We start from the raw sequence: 18,276 nt of genomic DNA on the forward strand, positions 1-18,276 counted from the left end.
TAACATGGTGAAACCTCGTCTCTACTAAAAATACAAAATAAATAAATAAATAAATAAATAAATAAATAAATAAATAGCCGGGCGTGGTGGCGGGCGCCTGTAGTCCCAGTTACTTGGGAGGCTGAGGCAGGAGAATGGCGTGAACCCGGGAGGCGGAGCTTGCAGTGAGCCGAGATCACGCCACTGCGCTACAGCCTGGGAGACAGAGCGATAAATAAAGCAGCCTATCTCTACTGATTACATAATCCCTTTTTGCCTGCTTCATCCTCCATTCTTCCCAGTATCTATTGAAATTGAGAGCCCAAGTATTCTAAGTTCTCAAAGACATTGAAAGAGACATGAAGACTACCGACAGCAAAGGGTGGGGACTTTGAAGATCAAGCACCGTTTGCTATGGATCCTCACTCACTGCTGAAAAGCATCACGAGATTAATAAACTGCATGAGATCACTAACCACCAGGTAGAAACACCTCCAGAATTACTTACATATGTTAAACTGGATCTTTTACTTTTAGCAAAAGAAAACAACTTACCCATTGGAACGCCTGGAGATCCAAAAAGCTTTACTAATTGAAAGGCAAACCCTTGTGATAATGGTAGCTCAAGGGAACGGTAGTCAGTGCTTGTTAAGTCTTGGCTGTCCTCAGCTGGTAATTCCTTAGGTTCTTCCCATCTTTTCAGCTTTCTATCAAACCTTTCATTTAAAAAGTGAAAATCAGAAGTGACTCCCAAAGAGCACGAAGTATCAGGATGACTATGTAAAATTTCTGGAGAAATAAACCCTGCATCATTTAGTTTATTACCTACTCTTGTCTGAGATTCGAAAGTCAAAAACAGTTTCTTGTTTGTAAAAGATGGCTTCCAAATACTAGATAAATTATGTAGCACAAAAGAAGGAATATAATTTTTGTATAAAGATGCAGAGCACCTTAGTCTGTTAAATGACAGGCAATGAGAATAACGCTGTCCATCAATATTTAAAGGGGTAGCTTTGATAATATCAAGGTAAAACCACAATGGATGATGATCAAAGGTCATAAGTTTTTGTTTATTCTCCTCTTCACTGTTCCTTTCTGAAATTCTATCTTTTTCTTCTCCCAAAGTAATTTTTAGTCCATGGTTTTTTGTTAACAGGTCACATTTCTCCCTTTCTTTTACACCGATACGACTCTGTCCTAATAAGTCAAAATTTGGTACCAAATTGAAAATCCTTTTCTTCCTCCTTTTCTTATTTTTTGTTGATTCTAAGGCATTCTTTGGTATATCCGGTTGAGGTAAGCAGCTTCTGAAGAGGTTTGTTTCTATGAATGAATCCATAGTTTCAGGTGGAGGTGAAAAATCTTCATTTCCTATCAGTAGTTTGTCTGTCAATATTTCTGGATTGTTTCCTGGTTCTGATGCTGCCACCGAAGTGAAGATCATTTGAATCCATTGCCCCCTGCTGTCAGGACCAGCCAACTTACATGCTCTATCTTTCTTTGGTCTCTGTTCACATATAAACTTATGAGGTCCTGCAGGCCAGCTACCAAAATAGGGCTGTCTGTCAGAGCCCAGCTGTAAATCTTCATCAGATAAATTGGTTGTGAAAAAAGCCCAGTGATTGATTTTAGTTGTATACACTTGTTCCTCTCTTAAAACTTTATCTGACATTCTGATTCCATGTTGATGGCACAGAATGGGTTCATGTGAGAGATTTTTATCTACTATTTCTCTCTTCTTCATAAATAAGCATGAAGTTTCCGCAGAAAGGTCCTGGGTGTCTAATGCTATGGTATGCCTATTTCTAATATGCTTTTCTACCTTCATGCCAGAGCAGTCATCAGTTGTTACACAGGAAAGGTTTTGAGTCAGTATTGGACAAGTAACGGAGATTTCATTTGGCCTCAGTAACAAACTTACAAACAAGTTATCACCTTCCTTAGAGAGGTAATTCTTTGGTGTGTTGTCTAATTCAACTATAGACATAACGTTTTGGAAACTGTCTTTAGGATCTTTATTTTTCCATCTTTTTTCTTTATATCCAGTCACAAAATCTCCGACTTCATTTTGTAGACCATCAATGAAGGGATATTCTGATTCTCTTCTGGTCTTTTCAATGTCTTCCTCTTCACTCTGAGATGGGTCCTGATCTCCCGGTGTAAGATCACTTAAGAATTCTAATGAGTTTTCCTCCATGATTCTATTCTGACTGTTCTGCTTTTTGTTTCTTTTTCTGTTCCTCTTCTGTTTGGTTTTGCTGAGCCTATGCCCAGTTTTCTTCAAAACTCTTTCTCTGAAATATTAAAGAATTAAGAAAATGTATGACTTAATTACATGTATAACATAAGCAAACTATAACATCATACTCTTCATGTGCAGGTTTAAAAACCTTTAGTACAAGAGACTCTCAAGTGTGCACGTACTTTTTCTTTGTTTGTTTGTTTGTTTTGAGATGGAGTCTCGCTTCATTGCCTAGGCTGGAGTGCAGTGGTGTGATCTTGGTTCACTGCAACCTCTGCCTCCCGGGTTCAAGCAATTCTCCTGCCTCATCCTCGCAAGTAGCTGGTATTATGGGTGCCCACCACCACGCTTGTCTAATTTTTTTGTATTTTTAGTAGAGACGGGGTTTCACCATGTTGGCCAGGCTAGTCCTGAACTCCTGATCTCAGGTGATCCGCCTGCCTCAGCCTCCCAAAGTGCTGGGATTACAGGCATGAGCCACTGCGCTGGCCATACTTTGTACTATATTTAAAATCACTTTTAAAAAGAGATATTTTAATCCTATACATTAAAAATGAGTACACTTTGAGAAAGTTAAAGCTAATATGCATATAATCATTTCATAAATAACTTTATAAAAACCTAATATTTTCCTTAAAGAAAATACTTCATATATAAGCATGTATTAACAAGAATATGTTCTGAGAAATGTGTCATTAGGCAATTTCATCACTGTGTTAACATCATAGAGTGTACTTACACAAATCTACATGATGTAGTCTACACCACACCTAGGCTATATAATATAGCCTATTGCTCCTAGGCTGAAAAATTGTACAGCATGTTACTACACTGCATACTGTAGGCAATTATAAAACATTAGTAAGTATTTGTGTATATAAACATATCTAGAGGCCAGGCATGGTGGCTCACGCCTGTAATCCCACGACTTTGGGAAGCTGAGGTAGGTGGATCACCTGAGGTCAGGAGTTCGAGACCAACCTGGCCAACGTGGCGAAACCCTGTCTCTACTAAAAATACAAAAAAATTAGCTGGGCGTGGTGGTTCACTCCTATAATCCTAGCTACTCTGGAGCCAGAGACAGGACAATCACTTGAACCCGGGAGGCACAGGATGCAGTGAGCCAAGATTGTGCCATTGCACTCCAGCCTGGCCCACAGGGCAAGACTCCAACTGAATAAATAAATAAATAAATAAATAAATAAAAACATATCTGAACTTAGAAAAGGTACATAAACATATGGTATTATAATCTCATGGGACCACTGTCATATATATGTTCTGTTGTTGACTGAAATTTTGTTATGTGGTGCATGACTATATACATAAAACCTACCAGTAAATATCTTGGACCTCCTAACATCTTAGATTTTGAAAATTAAGAAGTGGCTGTTTCAGAATGGGACAAATTTAGTGACTTTAATAGCTAGATTTCCTCTAGACATGAAGAATGGTTGATAATGAGCTGTTGAGTCCGGTATTTGAGTGGCATGCTGCTAATTGCCCAGATTGTAGTGGTTCTAACCAGAGACTACACTACTACTCTGTGGGGTACTTGGAAATGTGTAAAGGCATTTTTGGTGGTCAGAATGACTGGTAATGTGTTACCACACATTACCAATATCAGGCATTTGGGCCTGAGGCCAGGGAAGCTAACCATCCTGCAATGCCCAGTGAAAAATTATCCCACCCAAAAGAACAATGGTGTTTCATCCAGCACACTGAAAGTTCATAGCTCCCTTTAACGGAAGACAATATTTGATCCTAAGAGAGAAAGGAGGATTTAGGAAATTTTCTAATTTAGAATATAAAGATCTAGTTATCCTGTCTTTCACCCTGGATAATCAGAGTCAGGGTCAAGGTGACAATGAAGACTTAGTAAAATGTAGTAGAGGAAGGACAATTGACACCGCTGAGGGAAAAATCCAGGACAGAGGAATAGAAAAGCAAGCAAACAAACCTGGAAGAAGAAAGAGATGATGCGGAAAAGAGAATAGTCAGTTGATTGGCTGGGCATTGGACAAATGAGATTAAACCTACCCCCAGCCACTAGCCTGGTTTATTCCATATGCTGGGCAATTTTCAATAGGTAGGACACATGAAAATCTTGTTCTTTGTCACTAATTGCTGCTGCCCTTGTTTACACATTTCTAGATATTGGTTTAGAAAATACTCTAAGGAACACTAATGTACCTAGAAACAGTTGTGATGGGGCCTCTATAAAAAGGATATTGAGTAAAGAGTGCTATCTGTGGTTGTAACTCTCCTTCATGGCCAGTTCTACCTGATTCCAGTGAAAGTCCTAGTTGCAGTCCAAGGTGCAATGTCAGTTATGAAATTCATCCTGCAGACTAGTATGTCATTCTGAAAACAAACTCCCCTGTCTTTACTCAAATGTGAACCATCCTGTTGCAGGGCAAGGAGAAAAAGAACAAATAGAGTTTGTTGTTGCGTTATTCATTCGATTAAATGGTAAAATACTAATGACGTAAGAGACTCACTGCAGCACTGGTGATTCTGTGGAGTTTAATGCACTTAATGTATAGTCACTGTCCCTCAGAACAGCTCTCTACTGTACAAAGAAAGAGAGCCCTAATCTAGGGAAATGCAGTTACTGAAACACACTTCATCACCAAAATGTTTATAATTCCATATACCAGCAGAAAGACTAAGGTCTACAATTGCACTTGGAAAATTGGCTTTTAAAAAAAGATGTTACACTTATTATGTATTGGGACTGTTTAATTGCTTTACATGTACCAATTCACCTAATCTTCAAAACTGTATCAAGTAAGGGCAAAGGCTAGTTTTAACCCCATCTTACAAAGACAACTGATATACAGAGAAGTTGAAGAATGTGCTCAGGGTCACATGGCTAGTGGCAGGTTCAGACCTAGTTTGATTCGCTCTGAAGTCCACACTCCTTAACCATTATGCAACACTGCCTCTCGATTTAAAGAGAAAATTGTACAAAACATTTCCTTCTCTCTTTTTCTTCCTCCTCTCATTTTCAAACCCTCACATGTGCATAAACAGAAGATACTCAGCTGGCAAGGGTTGAGTCCTTTTCATGAGAGCAGTTCTTGGGCCCTGACTCCTGTTATCACTAACTTAATAGTATCTTGACACTTTTCTTCTGTTGCCTCTCCTTTCTCTGGATCAAATCAAAAAAGAAACAACAAGAGGAAGTGAGAGGAGATACTGTGGAGCAGGATCTCTCTCCCTAATCTGCCCTCATGTCAAGACTCCATATGAGCAATGGGAAAGCCAGACTAGATGGCCCACAGCTGAGATCAACAGATGGGCACAAGTGACTCCTCCTGGAGTTAATTCACTCATGGGGTGGAGGCAGTGAGAAGGGATCACATTCTGGATACTGTTTTGAAGGAAAAATAAGCAAGATTTGAAAATAAATCAGATATAGGGTATGAGGAAAAAGATAAGAATCAAGTATGAGTACAAGGATATTGGCCTAATTAGAGGGATGAAGTGGCTACTTACTGCAACATAAAAGTCTGCAAGATATGGGTTTGGAGAGAGGGTTGGTAAATCAGTTCCCTCAAAGTCCAGCTCAGAATAGGCTAATCTGTCATTAAAAAAGAGTTCAGAAAGTGGAAAAAAAAGAGGGCTTCTCTAATACTCCCCAAGAGTTGCTTTGTTTTCTAAGCAGATTACAATCAGCTGCTTCAGAAAAGGATAATAAGGACCCTGCTAATGTCTTTTTTTCGTTGTTTTTTTTTCTCCTAAGTCTGCTTTCTAGGGAAGGACCTGCTAATGCTAACAACCCACTATGCCTGCAGAGAAGTAAACACTGGACCATGAAAGAATAAAGTGGCTTAAAAAGTAAACTATCAGAGTTTGGGAGATCAGGCAATTTATTAAGGCAGTTTGCTAAGAGTTAATCAAAGGAATCTCTAAGGATTAGAATTCCAACTGAAAATACAACACAATGCCAAGAGGTATGAAAATCTGACTCCACAGTGAAGTGCCAGAGACATGTACCAGTTCTGCACCACTGGAGCTCTATATAGCTACCCTCCTCATTTCAGAAACAGTGGACATGGCCTTCTGGAAAGGAAACACAAACCAATAACAGTGACTTGTGAAGCCCCTGGGAAATAAGAGACTTGGTAGTGATGGTGGTGGTGATAACTTCTGCTTGAATGTGGCTAATCAGTAGATGCATTTTCTTTAGAAACATCTATCTAGAAAGTGTGAGAATCTCATCAAAGCTGTGTCAAGGATCATTAAATGTGATCTCACTGGTGCTGATTCATTTAGGAATGAATGGTACCATTAGAAGAAAAAAAATCACTAAATAAAAGTTAGTCATGGAGAGGAAATCACAAGAGTTAGAGGCACAGGATGTAGCTTTTAAAAGAAAGAAGAAAATAAGAAATGAACAAATGGTAACACATCTATGATGAGTAAGATTTTGCTTTCTAGATGATGGCTTAGAATCCAAGCTCCTAGGGAGCAATGGAGTGTACCTCTCAGGAATTAGAAAGTGTTTGTTCAGATACAAGCTAATCTGACCAAGTGAACTGTGACCTGATGACAAAGGTGAGAGAGCATCCAGATAAAGCTGAAGAAAGCAGGAAGGGAGGGTGGAAAGCATGGTAAGTGATAACCCTCATGAAAAAATATAATTAAGGGGGGGCCAGAAAAAAACATTTCCCAATGCAGAATCCTATATACTAATTTATGATAACGGGCAATAAATGAAGTAAATCTGAGATTAAAACACATGCAGATGATAAAAGGTCTCATGGCTTTCTGGAATGACCAGTTGAAATAACTGAGGCCCAGGTCCTGGTCCTGGCTCAGTAATAGCGAAGTCCAGGCCTTAGCTAGCAGTGGGATCCCTCAGTTAGCAGTGGGATCTTGGGCAAATCATGTCTTTCCAAAATGAGGAAAATACCCCTCCTTGCAAAGTTGTTGTAAGGACCACTAATACAGATGCTCTTAAATAACCTCTACTCAACTGATAGAGCAGATCAATTGATTCTCTCCATTGCCTCTGTACAATGACTGATATTAATGACTCACACTAAATGCTCCCAGCTAGATGGCTGCTCTCCAGTGTAACTGCACCCTTTTGCTGTCACTGTTTAGAACTGTATATTTATAAGGAGTCAGATGGGTTTATTCGCAAGTCTGTTTATGCCAATAATAGTTTTTACTATAATTATGTAGTTTGTCTCACTAAACATGAAGTGCTAAACAGCTGTTAAATAGGCAGCATAACTATAAAATTTGGTTGAAAATAATAAAGACCTATGATTATGCACTCATATTGCTTTGAATATTTCTTTGGGTTCTACTTCCAATTTATATCAACAGAAACTAGAAATTCTTGACTACACATTACAGATGTGGTTTATGCATGAAAAAAGTTAAACTGCACTGAACAAAATTATACATAAAAATTGCTGAATAAATACATATAAAAACATGTATTTTAAGTTCAAATAAAATGTTTAAAGTATGTATCATTTCATAATAATTCTTTAAACAATTTTTTTCAATGAACTAACCAGCTTTCTGTCCCAATCATGTTAGAGACGAGGGCTTTAATTATAAATAAAGCACCTAGCACAATGCTTGACACATAGTGGGTACTTCATAAATGGCAGCTCTTATTTTTATTATGTATTAACAACAACAAAAGCAATCTTATAAATTTCACTGAGACTCCCACGATGCAATTCAAGAGTAGAATGTGGCAATGTGATACTTATGATTTACTTAAAACAAACAGTTGAGTTAGAAGAACTGGAAAATTCTCCAAAAATGTAATTTACTTAATGTAATTGCAAATGATTGGAAGTGGAAAAAAATTTTTTTAAACTAAGTGGCCATATATAGACAAAGTGATAAATTCACCATCTTTCTCAGAGATTAAAACACCTTTCTCAGTAATTGATAGAACAATGAGACAAAGACACAGAAGTTTAACTAGCATAATAATGATTGAGTGCACTAATATGGAACACCACATCCAACAATTGGTGAAAACACATTCTTTTCATGCTCACATATAATATCTATAGAAATTAACTAGGCCATAAAGCTAGACCTCCACAGATTTCAAAGAATTACTAATGTACGGACCATAATATAGTTAACTTTGAAATTAGTAACAATAAATTTTTTGGAAAAAATTGTAAACATGGAAAAATGAATAGGTAGAAAAATTATAATGGAAATACTTAGAACTGAATAACAGTAAAAAAATTATATATAAAAAGTGATTTTTTTTTTTTTTGAGATGGAGTCTCACTCTGTCACCCAGGCTGGAGTGCAGTGGCGCGATCTTGGCTCACTGCAAGCTCCGCCTCCCAGGTTCAGGCCATTCTCCTGCCTCAGCCTCCCAAGTAGCTGGGACTACAGGCGCCTGCAACCATGCCCGGTTAATTTTTTGTATTTTTAGTAGAGACGGGGTTTCACTGTGTTAACCAGGACGGTCTCGATCTCATGACCTTGTGATCTGCCCGCCTCGGCCTCCCAAAGTGCTGGGATTAGAGGCGTGAGCCACTGCGCCCGGCTTTTTTTGTTTTTGTTTTTTTTTTATAAGACAGAATCTTGCTCTGTTACCCAGGCTGGAGTGCAGTGATGTGATCACAGCTCACTGCAGCCTCTACCTCCAGGGTTCAAGTGATTCTCCTGTCTCAGACTCCAGAGTAGCTGGGACTACAGCAGCGCCACCATGCCTGGCTCTTTTTCTTTCCTTCCTTTCCTTCCCTTCTTTCCCTTGTTTCCCTTCCTTCCCTCCCTCCCTCCCACCCCATCCCCTTCTCTCTCTCTCTCTCTCTCTCTCTCTCTTTCTGACGTGTTCTCCATGCTGTCCAGGCTGGTCTCGAACTCCTGGATTCAAATGATCTGCCTGCCTCAGCCTCCCAAAGTGCTGGGAATACAGGTGTGAGCCACCGCACCTGGCCTAAAATGTGATACTTAAAGGGATATTTGCATAAACATTCACATTAAAAAGGAAAGACACAAAATTAATGAGTCAACCACACAACTGGAGAAGTTACAGAAAAAAAGAGCAGAATAAACTTCGAAAAAGTAGAAGACGCTAGCCATGGTGGCTCATGCCTGTAATCCTAGCAATTTGGAAAGCTGATGTGGTAGGATTGCTTGAGGCCAGAAGTTTTAAGACCAGCCTGGGCAACATAGCAAGATTCTGTCCGTATTTAAAAAAAGAAAAAAATATATATACACACATATATTCTTTTAAGTAGAAGAAAGAGCATAATAAAAAACACAACCCCCAGGTGAGATTAAGGAAGAAAAAAAAGGAAATGAGTATTAGAAATAGAAAAGAAGGCACAATTACAGATCCAGAGAAATTTTAAAAGATAAAAGATTAATTATATGAATAACTTTATAACAACAAATTTGAAAATTTAAATGAAATGTAATTTATACATTTATTTATAAATTTAGCTAGAAAATATAAGTTATTTAATTAATTTATTTTTGGAGACAGGGTCTCACTCTGTTGCCCAGGCTGGAGTGCAGTGGTGTAATCACCACTTACTGCAACCTTGAGCTCCCAAGCTCAAGCGATCCCCCTCACCTCAGCTTCCCATGTAGCTGGGACCACAGGTATGTGCCACCATGCCCAGCTGCCCAGCTATTTTTTTTTTTTTTTTAAGAAACAGGGTCTCACTATGTTCCCCAGGCTGGTCTTGAACTCCTGGGCTCAAGCAATCCTCCTGCTGGGATTACAGGCCCAGCACACACAGCCAAAAACACAAGTTATTAAAACTGACTAAAAAGAAACAGAAAGCCTGGGTAGTCCTAGAATGGTAAAACAATAAAGGTTAAGTTTTTCTCCCCCCAGCAAGGGAATTCCAAGTTCAGGTGACTTTTCAGAAAAGTTCTACCGAATATTCAAGGAATTGTTCACTGCAATCATATGCATAATTTTCCGGAGAAAAGAAAAAGAAAGAATACCTCCAGCTTTTTTTCTTTTTCTTTTTCTTTTTTTTTTTTTTTGGGATGGAGTTTCACTCTCCTTGCCCAGGCTGGAGTGCAATGGTGCAATCTTGGCTCATCACAAACTCCGCCTCCCAGGTTCAAGTGATTCTCCTGCCTCAGCCTCCCGAGTAGCTGGGATTACAGGCCTGTGCCACCACACCTGGCTAATTTTGTGTTTTCAGTAGAGACGGGGTTTCTCTATGTTGGTCAGGCTGGTCTTGAACTCCCGACCTCAGGTGATCCGCCTGCCTCGGCCTCCCAAAGTGCTGGGAATACAGGCGTGAGCCACTGCGCCCAGCCAGCACCTCCAGCTTTTTTTCAAAATGCTAACATAGATTGATAGAGCCAGGAAGTTACACAAAAATGAGAACTTTCAGGCTAGTCTCAGTTAAATACAAAAACCCTAAATAAAATATCACAAACTACCTTCAGTAATGTGTAAAATAGACAAAACATTATGATTTAACTGGTTTATCTCAAGATTGCAAGACTCAATTATACTAGACTATCCATTAATATAATTAACCACATCAGCAGGTTAAAGGATAAAACACATCTAAAAGCTTTTTCATAGTGGTAGAAATTGTTTTATTTATTTTTTATCTATGTACTTAAAACACTCAAATCCATTACTATTTAAAAATAACACACACAACTCTTAGTAAACCAGGAATAGATGAGAACTTCCTTAATTAACAATGAGTACTATGATCCTATCATAAACATAATTTCTAATATGAGAAATATTAAAAACGTTTCTTTAAATCAGAAACAAGACAAGAATGCCTATTATCACCAGTTCCATTCAACATTGTATAGTCCCTCTGTATTCATGAAAGATATATCAGACAAAATAGAAAAGGAAAATAATGAAAAGATACAAGGACTGTAAAGGAAGAAAAAAATTGTTATTCTTGGTTGGGCACAGTGGCTCACATCTGTAATCCCAGCACTTTGGGAGGCTGAGGCAGGTGGATCACCTACGGTTGGGAATTCGAGACCAGCCTGGCCAACAAGGAGAAACCCTGTCTCTACTAAAATACAAGAAATTAGCCGAGCATGGTGGTGGGCGCCTGTAGTCCCAGCTACTTGGGAGGCTGAGGCAGAAGTGCTTGAGCCAAAGAGGCGGAGGTTGCAGTAAGCCCAGATCTCGCCACTGCACTCCAGCCTGGGTGACAGAGGGAGACTTTGTCTTCAAAAAAAGAAAAGTCAACTAATGAGTGATGTCAGCAAAAATGGTTGAGTAACAAACTCCAAAAGCTCATCCCTTCACAACAGAAGTGACTAAACAGGAAAGAACTGTCAGAATCAACTTTATCAGAACTGTGAAGACAGATCAAGGGTTTACAGCAACCGGGCAAAATGTTTAATCAAGAGAAAAAAAAAAAGCTGAGTCTCAGTAAGAAATCTTTGTTAGTTTTTTAAGTTTTTTTGAGACAGGGTATGGCTATGTTTCCTAGGCTGGAGTGCAGTGGCTATTCACAGAATTGAGCATAGCACGCTATGGCCTCAAACTCCTGGCCTCAAGTTATCTTCCTGCCTCAGCCTCTGAAGTAGCTGGGACTATAGACATATGTCACTGTGCCTAGCTCTTTGTAGTGTTTTTTACTTACTCTGGCCCCATCTACTGCTCTCCAGATTAATACTGGCCCTGAAGACAACAACCTACTTTCTCAGTACAGATTTTTAGTACCAAGGGTGGCAGAAAGGACCTTCTTCTCAAAGAACTGTGGTTGTTTTGACCTTGCTGGTGACTCTGAGCTCAAAGGGCTTGTGCCTATTTTAACTAACTCAAAACTTTCCTAGGACAAACACAACTACCCAGTGTAGGGGGCATTTGTGGAATATATTTAAAGGCAAATGAATTAGCCACTGTCAGTTGGGGTAAGGCATAACTACCACTTGGGGTAAACAACAGATAATCCAAAAAGCTTAAGAAGAAAAGATGAGAAGTGAGGCATTTTAGGGAATAAGGGCTTTGAAAAGCTCCCACATATTCCTGGGAATCTAGAAGGCCATGTACTTAACCAAGTCAGGCTGTATGCTCAGAAAAGACCTAAAAAAGCTGTTGCTTCTGGCTGACACCCAGACTCTATACAAGCAGGAAATGAAGACAAGGGCAGAATTATAAACAGCCTTAGTGTAGAAGGTATCCCAACACATACACAAAGATGGAGCATTTTTGTTGATGATGATGATGTTGTTGTTCCAGATGTTTAAGGAAACGTCTGTTGAATCACTAGCTGACTACTAAACTAATGGAACAAAGACTTCAGTAGAATATAGATTTTACAAAATTAGTGCAGAAAAGTCACTAAACAAACAACAGTTACAACAAGGAGCAGAAACAAACCTTGGGGGGGAGGGGGTGAAATATGATTACAGATTTCCCATATTATATTATTTAAAATTTCTAATTTTCACAAAACCTATGAGACATACAAAGAAGTAACTGTGGCCTATACACAGGAAAAAAAGAAATTAATAGGAACAATCATTGACAAAGCCTAGACATTGGACTTATTAGACAAAGACTTTATGTTAACTATTTTAAATATGCTAAAAGAAACAATGGATAAAGAACTAAAAACAAATAAGAACAATGTCTCACCAAATAATTAATATCAATAAATAGATGGAAGTTAGAAGGAGGGGCTTCAAGACAGCTGGCTAGAGGCATCCAGCACTCACCTCCTCCATAAAGAAGACTCAAAATAACAAGTAGATAATCACACTCTGAATAGAGCATTTAAGAGAGAACACTGGAATTCAACAGAGAAATTATAGGAAACACCTAAGGCACAGAAGGAGCAGGAGGCAAGGCTACCAGCTCAGCTGGAATCAGGTGGGAGCCCAGAGAAGCTTCCCAGTACAGAGAAAGGGTCAATGACCACAGACTCTTGCAACCTGGGCCAGGAGAAAACCCCTCGACCCTTGTAAGCCCTGAGACTACTGCAGGGAGCTGCCTGGAGATGACCTGATAGCACTGCTCCAGAGAGGGAGCTCACACCAGGTCCCACTGTCCTACAACTCCTAAGCAAAAGCAGCATGACACTATTTTGAGAGCCTAGTCCATGCCATACTGCATGCTGCTATCACTAGAAATATCCCCCCACATCTATCCAGAGGGCTGTAGCAGCACAATGCTGGTTAAACCCAGGGGAGTAGCAGGGAACTCAGCACTCTAGCACATATAGTGTGCGGCACCCTGGGGCATGCGCAGTGTACCACACTGGGGAGGCTGCCCCCAGGACAAAGGGAACTAAAGTGTGTGCTTTCTAGAACCTGAGACTGCCTACCTGGGGCAGCCACCACAGACAGCAACCCCATTCTCCCAGCAGCAGGGCTCATGTGCACAAGCCCTGAGATCAGACTCTGCCGCTGCCCATTGCAGCTGCCACTGCTGCTGCAGGGGCCAAAGCACGTACTACAGGCAGTAATCCCGCCCTCTTCAGCAGCAAGGTCACAGCACACTTGCACATGCCGAGGACAGGTCCCTCAGCTGTCCCAAACCCCCGCACTCTCAACACTTTTGCAACCACCTAAGCATTCCACCAGGGGCCTGGGGCTCACCCTGCCCTGCCCACTACAGCTGGTGCCTCAGCATACTACTGGCACTACAAAAGACAGGCTTGCTCAGCCTAACACTGCCTCCCCACCAGTGCCCAAGCCCACTACCCTGGGGCCTGAGGATTGCCCCACCCTATCCACCACTGGCGGGATCTCCGCACTCCTCTTCAGAGTCTGAGGACAGGCTTACCCTGTCTGCCACTACCAACACAGCCAGCACCCACTCAAATGTCCCACCTGGAGGTCTGGGGACTGGCCCACCCAGCTTGTCACAGCCAATGCTAACACAAACATATACTACTTCAGAGCCTGATGGTTGTCCCACCACCACGACTGCCATCACCCAAACAAGCACATTGCCCAGGAGACCAAGAACCTATCCCCCTACCTGGTTCACTGCTGCTACTCCTGGCACCTGAGCAAGTGCCTAGAAGCTGAAGAATCATCATATTGGGACCCACTAACACTGGTGCTCATATATGCCACCCAGAGGCCCAAGGATAGGCACACTCAGCCTGTCAGTGCCACCACTTGGGCCTGAGGACTGAGGACTTGCATCCCCTTCCACAGTAAACCTCATCACAACTTCCACTAACAAACTCAGCCTAATCCACTGAGAAAACCACAAACACCACAGATGCTGTTTACAGTTGAAGAAATCATATGGAAACTGCATGACTTCATGCACCCAGAATAAAAGCTAAAGTGTCCTACCCAACCAACACCATAGATACATCCTTAGGAAGAAGTCTTCCCCTATAAAAGCATAGCCAAAAATTTGGATGTGACTGTTATACCAGATGTGCAGATATCAACATAAGGAAAAAATAAACATGAAAACACAAGGAAATATGACAACTCGAAAGGAACATAATAATTCTTCAGCAATAGATTCCAGTGGAAAATAATTTTATGGAATTCCAGAAAAAGAACTCAAAATAATGATAATCAAAGTAGCTCAGTGAGATACAAGAGAACGCAGATAAATAATACAAGGAAATCAGAAAAACAATTCAAGATATGAATGAGAAATTCACCAGAGATAGATATCATAAAAAAGAACCAAACAGAAATCCTGGAACTGAAGAATTCAATGACTGAAACAAGAAATACATTTGAGAACTTCCATAATAAACTAGAGCTATCAGAAGGAAGAATCTCAGAACTTAAAGACAAGTCTTTTTAAATAACCCAGTCAGACAAAGTTAAAAAATAAATATATATGCTGGGTGTGGTGGCTCATGCCCACAATCCCAGCACCTTGGGAGGCTGAGGTGAGTGGATCACTTGAGCTCAGGAGTTCAAGACCAGCCTGGCCAAAGCATGGCGAAACCCTATCTCTACTAAAAATACAAAAACTTAGCCCAACATGGTGGCTCATGCCTGTAGTCCCAGCTACTTGGGAGGCTGAGGCACAGGAATTGCTTGAGCCTGGGTGGTGGAGGTTACAGTGAGCTGAGATCACGCCACTGCACTCCAGCCTGGGCAACAGAGCGAGACTCCATCTCAAAAACAACAACAACAACAAATCAAACCAATAACTAACTAAATAAATAAATACATAAATACATAAAAAGAATGAACAAAACCTACTTGGCATATGGGACATCATGAAATTACTAAATACACAAATTTGGAGAGTTCTAGAAGGTAAAGAGAAGAGTAAAGACACAGAAAACCTACTTAATGAAATAGTAGCTGAAAATTTCTCATGTCTAGCAAGAGATTTAGACATCTAGATACAGGAAGCTCAGGGAAACCCAAATAGATGTAACTCAAAAAGCTCTCCATGGCACATTATAGCCAAACTGTCAAAAGTCAAAGAGACAATTCTGAAAATGGCAAGAAAAAAACATCTAGTTACATATAAGGGAACTCCTATCAGATTAACAGTGGATTTATCAGCAGAAACCTTATATAGGTCAGGAGAAAATGGATGATATATTCAAAGTGCTGAAAGAAAAACAAAATTATCAACCAAGAATACTATACCCAGGAAAGTTATCCTTCAAAAATTAAGGATAAAGTCTTTCTCAGAAAAGCAAAAACTGAGGCAATTCATCACGACTAGACTGGCACTACAAGAAACGTTAAAAGAAGTCCTATACATGGAAGTGAAAGGACAGTATCTACCATCATGAAAACACATGAAAGTATAAAACTCACTGGTAGAGCAAACACAAAAATGAAAAAGAGAAGGGATTCAAATGTTACTACTATTGAAAACCACCAAACCATAAAGATAAACAATAAAAGAGAAACAAAAGAACAAAGTATATACAAAGCAACCAGAAAACAATGAACAAAATGACAGGAATAAGTCCTTACATATCAATAATTACCTCAAATGTAAATGGATTAAAGTTTCCACTTAAAAGATACAGACTGGCTGTATTGATTTGTTTTTTGTTTTGTTTTGTTTTGTTTTTTGTTTTGTTTTGTTTTGTTTTTGAGACAGAGACTTTGCTCTGTTGCCCAGGCTAGAGTGCAGTGGCATGATCTCGGCTCACTGTCAGCTCCGTCTCCCAGGTTCATGCCATTCTCCTGCCTCAGTCTCCCGAGTAGCTGGGACTACAGGCACCCGCCACCACACCCAGCTACTTTTTTGTATTTTTTAGTAGAGACGGGGTTTCACCGTGTTAGCCAGGATGGTCTCAATCTCCTGACCTCATGATCCGCCCATCTCGGCCTCCCAAAGTGCTGGGATTACAGGCGTGAGCCACTGTGCCCGGCCAAATTGATTTTTTAAATTACCCAATTACATGCTGCCTACAAGAAACTCATTTCTCCTGTAGAAACACATACAGACTGAAAGTAAAGGATGGAAATAGACATTCCATGCAAATGGAAACCCAAAGCAAGTGGGAGTAGCTATACTTAGATAAAACAGACTTTAAGTCTGAGACAGAGAAGGTCATTATATAATGACAAATGGACTGATTTAGCAATAGGATATAATAATACTAAATATGTATGCACCCAACATCAAAGCACCCAGATATATAAAGCTAATATTATTAGATCTAAAGGGAGAGATAGACTCTAGAACAATAATATTATAGTTGGGGACTTCAACATTCAACTCTCAGCCTTATAGATCACCTACACAGAAAATTAACAAAAAACATAAGATTTAAACTGCACTTTAGACCAAATGGACCTAACAGATATCTACAGAACATTTTATCCAATAGCTGTAGAATACACATTCTTCTCATCAGCACACGTAACATTCTCCAGGATAGACCACATGTTGGGCCACAAAATAAGTCTCAACAAATTTTTTAAAAACTGTAATCATATCAAGTATCTTCTCAGACAACAATGGAATAAAATTAGAAGTCAATAACAAGAGGAACTTTAGAGACTGTACAAACACATGGAAATTAAACTATATGCTCCTCAACAACCTTTGGGTCAACAAAATTAAGATGCCAATCAAAAAATTTCTTGAAACAAATGAAAATGGAAATACAAACTACAAAAACCTGTGGGATACAGCAAAAACAGTGCTAAGAGGGAATTTTATAGCAATAAATGCCTACATTAAGAAACTAGAAAGATTTCAAATAACCAATCTAATGATGCACCTCAAGGAACTAGAAAAGCAAAAACAGCCAACCCCAAATTAATAGAAGAAAAGAAATATTAAAAATCAGAGAAGTAAAAAAACAGAGATCAAAAAAAGACAAAACAACAGATTAATGAAACAAAAAGTGTTTTTTTTGAGATGATAAACAAAATTAAACACTAGCTAAACTAACCAAGGAAAAAGAATATCCAAATAAACAAAATCAGAAATGAAAAACGAGACATAACAATGATACCACCAGAAATACAAAAGATCATCATAGACTGTTATGAAAAACTATATGCTAACAAAGTAGAAATTCCATAAGAAATGGATAAATTCTGGGACATATATACATCCTACAATATTGAATCAAAAAGACATAAAAAACCTGAACAGACCAATAATGAGTTATGAGATTGGATCAGTAATAAAAACTCTCCCAACAAATAAAAGCCCAGGACTGGATAACTTTACTGCTAAATTCTACCAAACTTATAACGAACATCCTATGCTCATTGATCAGAACATACTACCCAAAGCAATTCTCCTAAAACTATTCCAAAAAAAATGAAGAGGAGGGAATTGTCCTTACCTCTTTCTATAAGGCCAGGATTACCCTGATACCAAAATCAGACAAGGACACAGCAAAAAAAGAAAACTATAGGTCAGTATCCCTGATGGACACAGATGCAAAAATCCTCAGCAGAATATGAACAAATGGAATCTAACAGTACATCAAAAGGATAATACACTATAAGCAAGTAGGATTTATCTCAGGGATGCAAACACGGTTCAACATACACAAATCAATAAACATGACACATCACATCGACAGAATGAAGGACAAAACCATATGATCATCTCAACAGATGCAGAAAAAGTATTTGACAAAATCCAACATCCCTTCATGATAAAAACTCTCAAA

At 39.4% G+C, this 18,276-nt stretch overlaps 1 protein-coding gene across 32 annotated transcripts in view; it reads right to left on the reverse strand.

Annotated features, from left to right (window-relative positions):
- The window catches only part of N4BP2L2 (NEDD4 binding protein 2 like 2), a 106,384-nt gene that overhangs the window by 9,369 nt on the left and 78,739 nt on the right, over nucleotides 1-18,276 (reverse strand). For 28 of the 32 annotated variants that reach the window (NR_170379.1, NR_170389.1, NR_170385.1 and 25 more), the window contains one exon: nucleotides 535-2,273. Coding sequence is in view for 18 of the 32 variants with exons in the window: in NM_001278432.2 (NP_001265361.1) it covers nucleotides 535-2,273 (1,739 nt within the window). In the remaining 14 variants the exon portion in view is untranslated. Of the gene's footprint in view, nucleotides 1-534; nucleotides 2,274-4,505; nucleotides 4,628-18,276 lie in introns of those variants that run through there. The other 4 variants (XR_007063657.1, XR_007063656.1, XM_047430041.1 and 1 more) reach the window with 3 other exon arrangements.

The sequence above is a fragment of the Homo sapiens genome, chromosome 13 (assembly GCF_000001405.40).
Source record: "Homo sapiens chromosome 13, GRCh38.p14 Primary Assembly".
In the NCBI taxonomy this organism is placed as follows: domain Eukaryota; kingdom Metazoa; phylum Chordata; class Mammalia; order Primates; family Hominidae; genus Homo; species Homo sapiens.